At 47.5% G+C, this 13,069-nt stretch overlaps 1 protein-coding gene across 1 annotated transcript in view, besides 2 other annotated features; it reads right to left on the bottom strand.

Moving 5' to 3' along the window:
- Nucleotides 1,156-1,657: an enhancer, noted in NCBI's record as "H3K4me1 hESC enhancer chr1:156774267-156774768 (GRCh37/hg19 assembly coordinates)". NCBI's record gives its function as "activates a minimal SCP1, AML or CMV promoter by ChIP-STARR-seq in naive H9 embryonic stem cells {active_cell/tissue: H9 hESC(naive)}" and the evidence as "EXISTENCE:reporter gene assay evidence [ECO:0000049][PMID:30033119]".
- The window catches only part of PRCC (proline rich mitotic checkpoint control factor), a 33,281-nt gene continuing 25,528 nt past the window's right edge, over nucleotides 5,317-13,069 (bottom strand). Inside the window, exons 5-7 of the mRNA NM_005973.5 lie at nucleotides 11,324-11,467; nucleotides 8,791-8,856; nucleotides 5,317-5,758 (exon numbers count right to left, since the gene is read on the bottom strand). Of these exons, the coding sequence (NP_005964.3) occupies nucleotides 5,672-5,758; nucleotides 8,791-8,856; nucleotides 11,324-11,467 (297 nt within the window). The 3' untranslated portion in view covers nucleotides 5,317-5,671. The remainder of the gene's footprint in view (nucleotides 5,759-8,790; nucleotides 8,857-11,323; nucleotides 11,468-13,069) is intronic.
- Nucleotides 11,281-11,575: an enhancer, noted in NCBI's record as "tiled region #3718; HepG2 Activating DNase matched - State 14:Gen5', and K562 Activating non-DNase unmatched - State 15:Elon". NCBI's record gives its function as "activates a minimal TATA promoter and a strong SV40 promoter by Sharpr-MPRA in HepG2 and K562 cells {active_cell/tissue: HepG2 | K562}" and the evidence as "EXISTENCE:reporter gene assay evidence [ECO:0000049][PMID:27701403]".

Below are 13,069 nucleotides of genomic sequence, written 5' to 3'. Positions count from 1 at the left end.
GACAGACACCAAGGCCAGGAATACAGACCTCTGCAAACTATTCCTTCTTTAGCTGGGATGGGTTGAGTAGGCAGCCAGGGACATAGGGGTGGCTATACCACCTGAGGCATAAAGAAAGAGGGGCAGAGAGGTGAGCAGTTGAGGGACAGCCCCTTCACCTCCTCTGCAACCGCCCTGCCAAGTACAGGACTCGGGAGGAGGAAGATGTGTGTGTGAGCCCCTTAGAGGACAGGAATCCCCTCGGAACTGGCTCCAGGCCTCTCATCTTCCCAGCCTCTTGGGCTTAGGCCCTTTGCCTCAATCAGGACCCCATTCTCTCCCCTATCCCTCTTGCTTCCCCATTCTCTGCCCAGACCCACTTCAGAGCCAGCCTCCTGTTCCTGTGCAAAGCTCTACACTCTGGGGCTCTGGCATATGCCCTGGGTCTTACTTTTGTCTCAGACTGGGGACTTTTTTTTTTTTTTTAGACAGGGTCTTGCCCTGTCGCCCAGGCTGGACTATAGTGGCACGATCATAGCTCAGTGCAGCCTTAGCCTCCCAAGTTGCTGGGACTACAGGTGCCCACCACCAAGCCCAGCTAATTAAAATAAAAAATTTTTTTTTGGCTGGGTGTGGTAGCTCACGCCTGCAATCCCAGCACTTTGGGAGGCCGAGGTGGGCAGATCACCTGAGGTCAGGAGTTTGAGAACAGCCTGGCCAATTTGGTGAAACCCCATCCATCTCTACTAAAAATACAAAAGTCAGCCGGGCATGGTGGCACATACCTGTAATCCCAGCTACTCGGGAGGCTGAGGCAGGAGAATTGCGTGAACCTGGGAGGCGGAGGTTGCAGGGAGCCAAGATCGCACCACTGTACTCCAGCCTGGGCGACAGAGCAAGACTCCGTCTTGGGGGAAAAAAATTATAGAGACAGGGTCTCACTGTGTTGCCAGAGCTGGTCTCAAACCCGTGGCCTCAAGCTATATTCCTGTCACAGCCTCCCCAAGTGCTGGGATTACAGGTGTGAGCCACCATGCCCAGCCAGACAGGGGGCTTTCTAAGGCAGGGCTGTGTCTGCCCCTGGATTATCCTCAGGGCTCAGAGCAGAGACGACCCCTCCAGAGCTGCCCAGGCCTGGGGACTCCTGTGGTCCCATCTGTGCAGCCTGTTCTTTTCACACTCATTCCTACAAGAGGCTAGTCCAGGCAATCAGCGCCAGTCAGGGCCCCTGTACCTACCTGAGGCACGAGAATCTTCCAGACCCTTTCCTTAAGCCACAGTCCCTAGGCCTGGGCACTGCCACCACCATACCACCCCCAGCCTGGCCCAGGCGCCAGCTCCAGTGACTGGCCAATTCCCCTCTTTCCACTCCAGTGCTAATCAGCTTAAGGAGAAATATGGTTGCTGAGTCAACAGAGTTGGAGTTCCACTTCCCTTTGTTTAGACCTCAGATCTAAATGTCCTCCTGAGCAAGAGGAGAGGTGGGGAGGGAGGCAGAGGGGCAGGGAGGGAGGAGCAGATGGCTTTGCTGAAATCAGAGAGGAGGCTCAAAGTGCCAGAAAGGTCTCAGATTAGACGCAGGGAGTCAGTTACCTCGTGGCTGATTCCTTGGGGCAGGGGAGGAGGCAGAAAAGAGTGGCATATTTATTGTACAGCAAGAGACAGAAATTAGAAAGTCAGAAAATAGATTTCTCCAGACTTTGGGGTGTAACAGAATGGGCAGGTGTGGGGAAGGGACCAGAAATGCCCAGTGACCCACTTGATGTTTCTGGAGGAGAAAGCCTGGAGCAGAACAGGGGCAGGAGCAAAGCCAGGGGCAGAGCAGGACCTAGGGACCCTCTTCTTCCTTCTGTGGCTCCACAGAGCATGGGGTGGACACACCAAAGGGGTGGTGGAGCTCAGATGAAGCTATGGCGTCAAGAGCCCTGGGTCTGTTATGACCCTGTGCTAACTAGTTGTGCAACCTTCAGCAGGGGAACCCTTTTTCTGTGACACTGGTCCCTCCATTCCTTATGCATGGAGATAATGCCTCATTTGCGCACAGGGTCTCATTGCACACAAATGAGACCGTGCAAGTGAAGGGCTTTGAAAAGCAATACTGCTGGGGCTAGAAGGGACTTCAGAGACCCTTGATGACAGAGTATTTGGCTCAACTAAAGAGGAAACTGAGGTCTAGAGAGGGGAGGTGACAGGGAGCCAAAGGCAGTCAGGCCCAGGGACCAGATCTTGTCATCCCAACCCAGTGTTCCTCTTAATACCCCAGGGCCCCTCCTAGGCTAAAGGATAAGGTCCCAGTCTTGCTGAGGGCCACAGCTGCAGGCCCAGCCCTGAAGACCAAGGTGGTGGAACCTCCCTCCCCATGACGAGGGGCACCCCTGCACAATCCTGCTGACTTTACTCCAAGGTGAGGCCTGGGGCTGCGGTGAGACCTCAGGAGGGAGAAGTTGAGTAACTTGTACAGTAAAAGCGAACTGGGGCGATCATGCTGAGCGAGACTCCACATGCCAGGAGGGGGAGGGCATTTCTCACCGACAGTCTTCCCATGGTCATTCCATCCCTCCTCCTGCCTCCTCCAGGCAGAGCCTCTCTGGCTGAGCCCACTCTTAGATCTGTGAAAGGGCAGCCTCTCACCCTGTCACAGCACATGGAAGACCTTGCTGTGAGCAGAGAGAACTGCTCCCACTATAGGGTCCAGCTTTGTCCTCCAGCCCCTGCCCCTTCAGCTCCACGCCTTACCCTGATGGCTCTTTCCTGCTCCAGCCTCCCCTGAGCTGCCCCTTTCATCCTATCTGCCCCCTCAACTAATGCAGCACAGTCTCAGTAAGGTGATCTGTAACTCTGGCTCAGGGGCTTCTCAGGGAGACTGAAGAGTAACATCACATCCCATGAACCCACTCAGGGAGGGGCGGGGCTGGTCATCACTGAGTCCTCACTTGAAAGAAAGCTGAACTTAGGCCGGTTGTGCTGGGCACGGTGGCTCACGCCTATAATCCCAACACTTTGGGAGGCCGAGGCAGGTGGGTCACCTGAGGTCAGGAATTCGAGACCAGCCTGGCCAACATGGTGAAACTAAAAATACAAAAAAATTAGCCGAGCATGGTGGCAGGCACCTGTGATCCCAGCTACTCAGGAGAATCGCTTGAACCCGGAAGGTGGAGGTTGCAGTAAGCCGAGATCACACCACTGCACTCCAGCCTGGGCGACAGAGCGAGACTCCATCTCAAAAAAAAAAAAGAAAAAAGAAAAAGAAAGCTGAACCTAGAGGGAAAGGGGTAAAAAGGGGCAGACAGGAGCACGCAGCCCAGAGTATTCCAACATCCTTGCCACTTCCCCCAGGCCCCACTGAACTTTAACCACTCCTCCATACATTGGAGCTTCTTGGACAGTGAGCTCAGCACCCCGGCTAGAGTGGAGATGTGGCTGGGCCCCTCCGAAGGGGCCAGCAGCGTTGCAGAGGCACTGAAACACCCTCATTACGACAACCGTATCATCTCTGTGAGGGTTCTAAGTCTGATCCTCGTAGACCTCAGCTTCTTCAGCTCCACTGTTCTGGTCAATGTGACACTGCACATCCAGCTTTGCCCCGGCCCCACCAACATCTTCCAGGGCTAATTGGATCCATTTCTGACCAAGGCCTTCACACCTTTCTCCTTCTGCCCCTTGGCTGTTGCTGCCATGCTAATTTTAACCAAGTTATCACTCTTATTTCTCCCTCATTACTGTCTCTGTCTTCTGTTCATCAGAACTTGAGGCTACCACCTCCAGGAAGCCCTCCCAAATAAAGTCTATCCGTTTTCTAATTGTTGGTTATTTCTCAGTGACCAGGAAATTCCAACCACCAAATACAATGCCATCTTTGGTAGGACTAAAAAGTGGCTTTAAAAAAAATGTGGCCTAAGACTCTTGAGTGAACTGAAGGAGGTGGGAGGCAAGAGGACCCTTAGAGATATCTAGCCCAATTCTGTCCATTTCCAGAAGATCTGGGAGTCTCCCTCTCACCATCTTCTGCCTCCCAGCCCAGAGCACTTCCAGCTACAACATGACACAGCCCCTAAAATGAGAAAGTTGAATTACTGAATCCCAGGAGTGTGGCGACTCGTATGGGCCGGGCTGCATCTGTAGCATATTGGATATAAGAAAGGAAGCACTGGACTCATTGGAACCTAAGATTTTAGGCCCTGCTGAGCACACCTCACCACCTGTGACGCCCCAGAGGGGCAGATCTCAGCCCTGACCCCCACTGCCTCTGTGAATACTGGGAGCATGGTAGGGTTGAAGCTCCTTGCTGAAGTCTTGGCTGGATGCATGGATCTGGACAACTACAGCCTGAGTGTCCCTGTGGGATGCAGGAGCCCTGTCTGGCTCCAGCCCGAAGTAGGTCAGATTTCAGATAAGCGGGTGGTTTTCCTGTAAGTGATGAAACCCTCTCTGTACTTAATGAGAAACAGACTCCTCAACTTACCCCAGCACACAAAACCAGAAGCTTGGTGAGGTTCCTAAATTCTGCCTCTTCCTTCCCACCCCCAGGTCCCCACCACATACCTCAAATGCCCCTATGGCCTTAGCCTCCCCTCTCTGTCACCAGGACTGCCAAACACTAATTCTTCCCAGTGTTTTCCTGCAACAGTACACTCAAGCATCTATTTCTGGTCAACAGCTCCTCCACCTGACATCTAATGCTCTCTGCAGGAGTTTCCTCAACGCTACTTTCCTGCAGGAAACCACAGCAGCTAAGCCCTACTGGAATCCTAGTACCCTTAGCCATATTTTTCAGTGGTGGTTTGCAGTATGATTTGCACACTGTTTTTGGAATCATCCCATCCGTCTTGCCACTTCTGGGCGTCACAGTGCCTTACAGATAATTGGAGTCTACAGACCCTGTACCTCCTTTCTTCAATGAAGGCTAGGGCTCTGGAAGTCTCCAAGGGTATCTCTCTAGCACCCAAGTTCAATGTGAAGCTTCCAAACTGATCCAGACCAGTGACTACCAGCGTCAATCTGAATCATCTTCAGGGACAGGGATTTTGCCACTTTACCTCCTGCTGGATAGGATTTTTATGCCTGACACTATTTTGTACTACAGAAAAAACCTCCTGACTTCACCCAGTCTCCAGAGGTACCTGAGATTAGCAATACATATTTGGGATCACAGGCCTCTCTGAAAATCATCCTGCCTCATATAAAGTTGTGCATACCATTTCTAGGGTTTCCAATGGCCACAAACCCAGCTAGATGGTGGATAGAGAGGAAAAATAGCAAAGCAATCAGGCAGCTCAAGATCATTTGGAAGGTGCTTTACACAAGGTAAACACAAATCCAGGGACAGGGCAGGCAATGTTTGTCAGACTGAATGTTTTATTTCAACAGACATCCCTGGTTTAAAAAAAAAAAAGTGGTGGTGGGGAGGGTTCAACATTTTATCACACCTGACAGAGAGCAAAACTCCCACCCCAGAACTCAGAGCCCCTTCGGAGGCATCACACAAGTCTTTGCTAGCTCCAGGACAGAAAGGAGCTGAATTTTCTAACTTGTTAAGAAAAATCTATCAAATATGTTCATTCTCGCAGAGGCGAGGGCTGGGTCCTTGGGGAAAGAGATCCTGGGCTTAGAGCAGCTGGGGTCCCAGAGGTGAAGCTGGGGGCCAGGCCAGCTGGGCTGGCAGGAGATCCTGGGAGCAATCAGTTCCAGAGCCCTAGAATCCATATTTGGCTTGGGTCTGACGGCGGCTGAGCTTGTTCTCTGACCAGGTGTTCTTCAGTTCCAGCTCCCGCTCCTTGGCCTGTGGCAAGGAAGAAGGGTAGGGGAGGGTCAAACTGGAATTCTGAGAAACGCTGTCCTCTTGCCTCTGTGAGCTTCCCAATTTAAAATCTTTCTCCTATCAAAACGATTATGGGGGAACTGCAAACCCCTTGAAAGACTTATCAAAGTAAAAGGGAAAGGCCCCAAGAAAGCAAAGAAAAATCATTTCTTTGGACAGTTATCAAGGTTTAAGCAAAATAAAGACTCAAGAATCCTGGTGCTTCCTCTAGTAGAATTAAAACTCAAAAGGTGAAATAGGAAATGGGCAAATGAAAACTAGAATTTAGCATCTAAAAGGAAGAAAATCAGCTCTCTTAGAGAGGAAGACAATCAGCTCTCTTAGACACCCAGCCGGCAGAGTAGGAGAGGACAGTCTCAAAGGCTCCTCTGGACCAGTCAAAACAGAACACCAACAAACAATTGCTTAGCCTGGAGATACAGTTTTGCAGTTGTGTTGAATACAGTGTGTGGTACCTTAGAAATTCAAAGGATTTTAAAGTAATGACTGAAGCTGTGAAAAACTGAGAGGTACAAGAATGACTTCTTTCTTCTGATCTCAACAACTCCTGGCTCTATACCACATTCTGGAATGTAGAAGTACCACCCTAGAAAGGGGATTCTCAAGACCCTCCAAAAGTTATCTGATGCCTGCTCATCTCCTTTGGAATTTGGGGTGGGGGTTAAGAGATTGAGTTTAAATAATATCCTACTCTCAAATCCTTTCCCTACAAACCACAAGACAGGGAAAGAGTACAAAGGAGTTCCTGAAAGGAAGGTGAAAATATGACAAAAACAATGAAAGCAAGATTTGCCATGAAATCACCAACCAGAATGTACACTTCCCAGGAAAGGGGCCAGGAAAGGGTCTTATTCATGTCTGTATCTTTGACACCATTTAGTTCAATAAGTCTTAAAAAGATATTTAATGACTAAATACAGTTGACCCTTAACATGAGTTTGAGCTGCACAGGTCCACTCATACATGGGTTTTTTTCTAATAAATATTTAATATATTAGAACTTTTTTGGAAATTCGTGACAACTTGAAAACACAAACTGTGTAACTTAGAAATACTAAAAAAACTAAGAAAAAGGTATGTTGTGAATGCATAAAATATATGTAGGTACTAGTCTATTTTTATCATTACTACCATAAAATATACACAAATCTATAGAAAGTTAAAATTTATCAAAATGTACACACACAAATACAGATCATACATGGTGCCATTTGTAGTCAAGAGAAACATCAACAAAAAGATACAGCATTAAATCTTAACTGCATAAAATTCACTGTAGTACACACTGTACTGTCATAATTTCACAGCCACCTCTTATTGCTATTGCAGTGAGCTCAAGTATTGTACCTGCTTAAAACACCACGTAATGCTAATCATTTCCACGGGAGCTGCTTGTCTCTCTAGTATGTTGCATATCACAGTAAAATGTGCTCTCTCAGTTCTCGTGTTTTTCATTGCGTACAATGTCATAAATCTTTTTTTTTTTTTTTTTTTGAGATGGAGTCTCACCCAGGCTGGAGTGCAGTGGCGCGATCTCAGCTCACTGCAACCTCCACCTCCCGGGTTCAAGCGATTCTCCTGCCTCAGCCTCCTGAGTAGCTGGAATTACAGGCACCACGCCTGGCTAATTTTTTGTATTTTTAGTAGAGACAGGGTTTCACCATGTTGGTCAGGCTGGTCTCGAATTCCTGACCTCGTGATCCGCCCGCCTCAGCCTCCGAAAGTGCTGGGATTACAGGCGTGAGTCACCATACCCAGCCCATAAATCTTAACACCATAAGACCCATACGAAGTGCTGCTAGTCATGCTGAAGTGCTCCCAAGCAGCAGAGAAAAGTCATGACATTACAAGAAAAAGCTGACTTGTTTGGTACGTTCCGTAGACTGGGGTCTGCAGCTGCAGTTGCCTGCCACTTCAAGATAAATGAATCTAGCATAAGGACCACTGTGAAAAAAGAAAAGGAATTGTGCCACTGCACTCCAGCCTGGCAACAGAGCGAGACTCTGTCTCAAAAAAAAGGAAATTTGTGAAGTTGTTGCTATCGCTGCAGCTATGCCAGCAGGTGTGACAACCCAGCACATTTTGCAAAATACAAAATATGTGTTATCGGTAAGGATTCTGGTCAACAGTAGGCAATTAGTAGTTAGCTGTTAGGGGAATCGAAAATTATACACATAGCCTGGGCTACACAGGAAGATCCTATCTCTACAAAAAAATTGTTAAATTAGCTGGGTGTGATGGCACACACCTGTGGTCCCAGCTACTTAGGAGACTGAGGTAGGAGGATCATTTGAGCCCAGGAGACGGCAGCTGCAGTAAGCCATGATTGTACCACTGCACTCCAGCCTGGGTGACAGAGTAAGACCCCTGTCTCCAAAAAGGGAAAAAAAAAATGTTATACGCAGATTTTTGACTGTTTAGGGTGCTGGCATCCCTAACCCTCTGTGTTGGTCAAGGGTCAACTGTATTTGAAAGCTGCCCAGTCATATTAAATAAATACCAAGACATATTCCAGTTTCAAAAGACATTTTTGGATTACCTGTAATTCTGAATTATTTGTGTTGATGTTCCCTGCCACAGAAGTGAAGAATATAAAACCAACCTCTTCATCAGGTGGATGTTTGGCTAAGTTGGTGAATCAACTTTTTTTTTAAGTTTTTTAAATTACTAGAGAAACCTGCTATTTAAAAGAACCCTATGATAAACCATTTCACTCTCCTCTTACATTATGTTTTGGATATCTGGATTTTCACTTAAGAGTTTTATTCTAAGCACCTGCACCTGAATCTTATCTGCATTGAGACTGAAGTAGAGCAGGATAATTCTGAAGGATGTATCCCCTCCTAGTGGCCGCTCTGAGAATAGGAGAGGATGCCTGCTAAAAGATGGGCTGCTAAAAGATAAGCATCTGGGCTTCTAACTCGTATCTCAGCCTTCAAATTCCCAGATTTACAGAGATCCTGCCTGAGCCAGAGCCCTCAGCTGTCTCTCACCTGATGAATAAGATATGTGATCTGGTGTTTCCGCCGCTGCTGGCCTGTTGGCTGCTCACCTTTCTTCTGCAAGAGAAGAAAACATATTCATTAATCCACAGGATGAAAGCAGAAGTTTCTCATGTGCCCAGATGGTGTGGTGTTAGGGGCTGAGAAGCCAATTCCACAGCCCAAATCCTGGGGGAGAAAAGTTGGAGCTGTTTTTACCTCTATATACTACAAAGCCTTTATTTTTATTAAAGCCATTATACAAAAAACCCAGCTCAGAACACTTGCCTGAAATAGCCTGCTAATATCCCCCACTAGACTGGAAATGCTTTGAGGTCAGGACTGTCTTCTGCGTCTTTGGTAATCCCACCCCACCCCTAGCACCCAGCATGGGGTTCTGTCTGCTGTGGACATCTGAGACCAGTTTAACTGCGTGCAGTCAGTCTGAAACAGTTTGTGGGCCAGGGCACAGGTGACCTTCTGCCCCCCTGCCAGGCCCTCCCACAATCCCTGTGCCCATCTCCCTTCAAACTCTCTTCATCTCTGTCCCCCTCTCCCCAGTCAAGCCAGATGTCTAGCCTGTCTCCCACCTACTGCTTATCAAGCTCGCTCCCATCAATCACCTCTGGCTAAAACCCCTGCCTTCCCCATTCTAGTAAGTGCCAGCAGCTTCCCTGGAATTAGAAATTTCACAATCACTCTACCTCTCCCCAGTCTTCCAGCCTCCGCCCGTAACTGCACTGAACCCGTAACCAAACTTCGATGCAAATGATTTACTGTCAAAGTCTATATTGGTCTGGGCTTTCATTCTGCGGTTTTTCTGTCCTCTGCCAGAGTTGTCTCAGACTAGAAGCTTCCTAATCATCTCCACCCAACTCCCAAAACTCCTCTCTAGAGTCTCCTCAGCACTTATGTCATCAATCTGTACTGTAATCATTTACACTCAAGTGTCCTTAAATCTCTTCTTCCCAACTATGCTGTCAACTCCTCAAGGACAAGGACCATATCTTTTTCTCCTTTTAACAAAATCTAGTTCAATATAATGAGACGGTGGCAAGAAAACTTGGAGATAGGAAAATAGCAAATACTAATTGCTTGCTGCTATTTAATGTCATTTAATGTGACAGTTAAAGATGACACACATAAAACATCCAGCTCCATTCCTGGCCCACGGTGAGCATTAACAACAGTAGCTATTACTATGTGACTATGCTTCTCGACCCACAGTTGGTAGAGCATGCTCTCCTAAGTGGTTTTTCCAGTAAACAGTGATGGATCTATGCTGATCTAACCACAGTCCTTTGCTCTGTCCTGTATGACCGCCAGCATTCAGTTAAAACAAACGGCTGGGGCTTGTGTGGCCATCTGTGGCCATAGAACAAAGCAAAGCAAATGGGGGGAGGAAAAGGGAACAAAATCCTCGACCTTGGTCTCGCTGGTGCTGGGCTCAAGTCCAGGGTTTTCCCACATTTCCCCTCCGGTGGCAGGCTCATAAATGTCCACATTTGCTGTTCTCAGCTACTAGGTGAAGAAATGTTCATCATACTGACTGAAGAAAACTAGGACAGAGAAGGCAGGAGTGTGGTGTGGGAAATGTGATGAATAAAAGCACTGGAAAGACTACAGCTGGCTACCATCAATAATGAAGAGAACACAGAAGAGTTGCATGCTCAGAATCTAGGGACTCCAGGATTTCTGAGGTGCTGTTGTGCCCACACCTCAAAAATGTGCTGAGCCAGGTCCCAGCTTGAAACAATGAACTAACCGGGGCCGGGTATAGTGGCTCATGCCTGTAATCCCAGCACTTTGGCAGGCCAAGGCCAGGGTAGGTGGATCACTCGAGGCCAGGAGTTCGAGACCAGCCCGGACAATATAGTGAAACTCCAACTCTACAAAAAAATACAAAAATTAGATTGGTATGGTGGCATGCACCTGTAGTCCCAGCAACTGAGGTGTGAGGATCACTTGAGCCTGGGAGGCAGAGGTTGCAATAAGCTGTGACTGAGCCAGTGCATGCCAGCCTGGGCAACAGAGTGAGACTCTGAAAAAAAAAAAAAAAAAAAAAAAACACCAGAAAATGAAAACAATTGGAAGGAAGGAAGGAGGAAAGGAGGAAAGGAGGGAGGGAGGGAAGGAAAGGAAGAAGATAGTATTTTAAAAGAATAAAAATTAAAACAAAAAAAGCAAAAAACTTTAAATCAAAAAAAGGAAAGAAGGATCTGACTGTACGGCAAGAGTAGAGCAGCTGTGGATTCTGTGCAGCCTGAGAAGAAGCCACAACCACAGGCTGGGAGGCCTCACCAACTACTCGATCTCAGCAACCAGACCCCCCATCCAGCTGCAGAGCTGTTAAAGTCCTGCAAAGTTCTAGAGGGCAGGAGCTGTATCTGTGAGGTTTAGTGCATACTCCAGTACCATGGGCAAAATGTGTTTGCTAAAGGTGCTGTGACAATAACAATGGGGTGTGGGGTCAAGACGGGGAGTAAGACAAGATTTTGCTTTGCAGCTTCCCAAGCTGACCACTCAATAGACGTTTCCCACTTACTTTGCTGAATGACTTCATGGTTTTCTCTTCTGTCAATGACTTAGTCATCCATTGCTGGGCCCCACTGAGCTGGTCATCACCTTTGATCTCCACAAAGTTGATTTCTTCTCTCCCTCGGTTCCTCTTGCCCTGCAGCCGCTTAAACTGGAAAAGAAAAAAATGCAGGAGTCAGGAATCTGGGCAAGGGTGTCAGCAGATGCCACTAAAGAGCCAGAGTTTATGGAATGATTTTGTGACTCACCAATCCCAAGGCACCCTCAGTTCTCTACGTCCTTTCACCCTGCCATCTACCAAACTCCCTTGATGCCAGATGAAAGGCTACTTCTACTCAGAACGTCTCCTGAACCCAGGAAAAGGGAAGCTAAGAGGTATCTCCAAACATGAATGAGAGCAGAGAACCAGTGATATGAATTTGTATTCAAACGGTATCTGCCTACCACTATGCAATATATCCATGTAACAAACTGGCACATGTACCCCCAAATCAATTTTATTTTAATGGTATCTGCCTAAAAGGACTGCATACAATTTTAGAATTAAGAATTCAGAGTAGGCCAGGCACAGTGGCTCACATCTGTAATCCCAGCACTTTGGGAGGCCGAGGTGGGCGGATCACCTGAGGTCGGGAGTTCAATACCAGCCTGACCAACATGGAGAAACCTCACCTCTACTAAAAATACAAAATCAGCTGGGTGTGGTGGTGCATACTTGTAATCCCAGCTACTTGGGAGGCTGAGTCAGGAGAATCGCTTGAAACCAGGAGGCAGAGGTTGCAGAGAGCCGAGATCGCACCATTGCACTCCAGCCTGGGCGGGAAGAGTGAAACTCTGTCTCCAAAAAAAAAAAAAAAAAAAGAAAGAAAGAAAAAAAGAATATAGAGCAGGCCAAGCAGGGTGACTCACATCTATAATACCAGCATTTTGGGAGGCAAGGTGGAAGGATCACTTGAGCCCAGAAGTTTGAGACAAGCCTGGGCAATAAAGTGAGACCCCATCTCTATAAAAAAATTAAAAAATTAGCCGGGTGTGGTGGTGAGTGCCTGTGGTCCCTGGGAAACACAGCAAGACCTCGCCTCTAAAAAAATAAAATTCCAAGCCCCCAGAAAACACAGAACTCCAGGATTTCTCCTTTAAAAATCAGTTGTTTGTCCATCTCTGTTCCTTCTAATTGTTCGGTATCACCGAATCAACAGACCCCACACCAGAGTGGACATTAGAGACAAAGAATGTGGGGCTGCGTAGAAAAGGAGTCTCTCACACACACAGAGTCTTAGCTTTACTTCAAAAGCTTTTAAGGTAAAGAAAAAAAAAAAAAAGCCCAGTAAACTTTCTAGGACACTGCTACGCCTTCCTCTTCCTAAAAAAGCAAAATGCAAATCACACAAGTCATCCAGAGGTGTGCCTCAAAGCAAATGTGGGGTGAAGAAGGAATAGAATTTTAAAACTTAGAAGCTTCAGTGAGACCCAGTCCTGATCTCAACATTAGTGAGGCCTTCTATACTCACTCTACCTAGAAGAAACTGACTTTTGCCACTAACTGGGTTCTCAGCTGTCTCCTAGGCTTAGTTGGTTCCCAAAGAAACCAACTATCAAACCTGCCAAGAAGGATATCCATAGGGGAGTGGATGAACACAGTATCAAGCACAGGCAGAAGTATGCAAAGGGATGGACACCTTTCTGGGAAAAGGTAAGCAGAGAAGAATTATTTTTTATAAGAACCTCCATGGTGAGGTAGCACCCCCTATTT

The sequence above is a fragment of the Homo sapiens genome, chromosome 1 (genome assembly GCF_000001405.40).
Source record: "Homo sapiens chromosome 1, GRCh38.p14 Primary Assembly".
In the NCBI taxonomy this organism is placed as follows: domain Eukaryota; kingdom Metazoa; phylum Chordata; class Mammalia; order Primates; family Hominidae; genus Homo; species Homo sapiens.
This window is presented reverse-complemented; position numbering and strand designations above follow the sequence as displayed.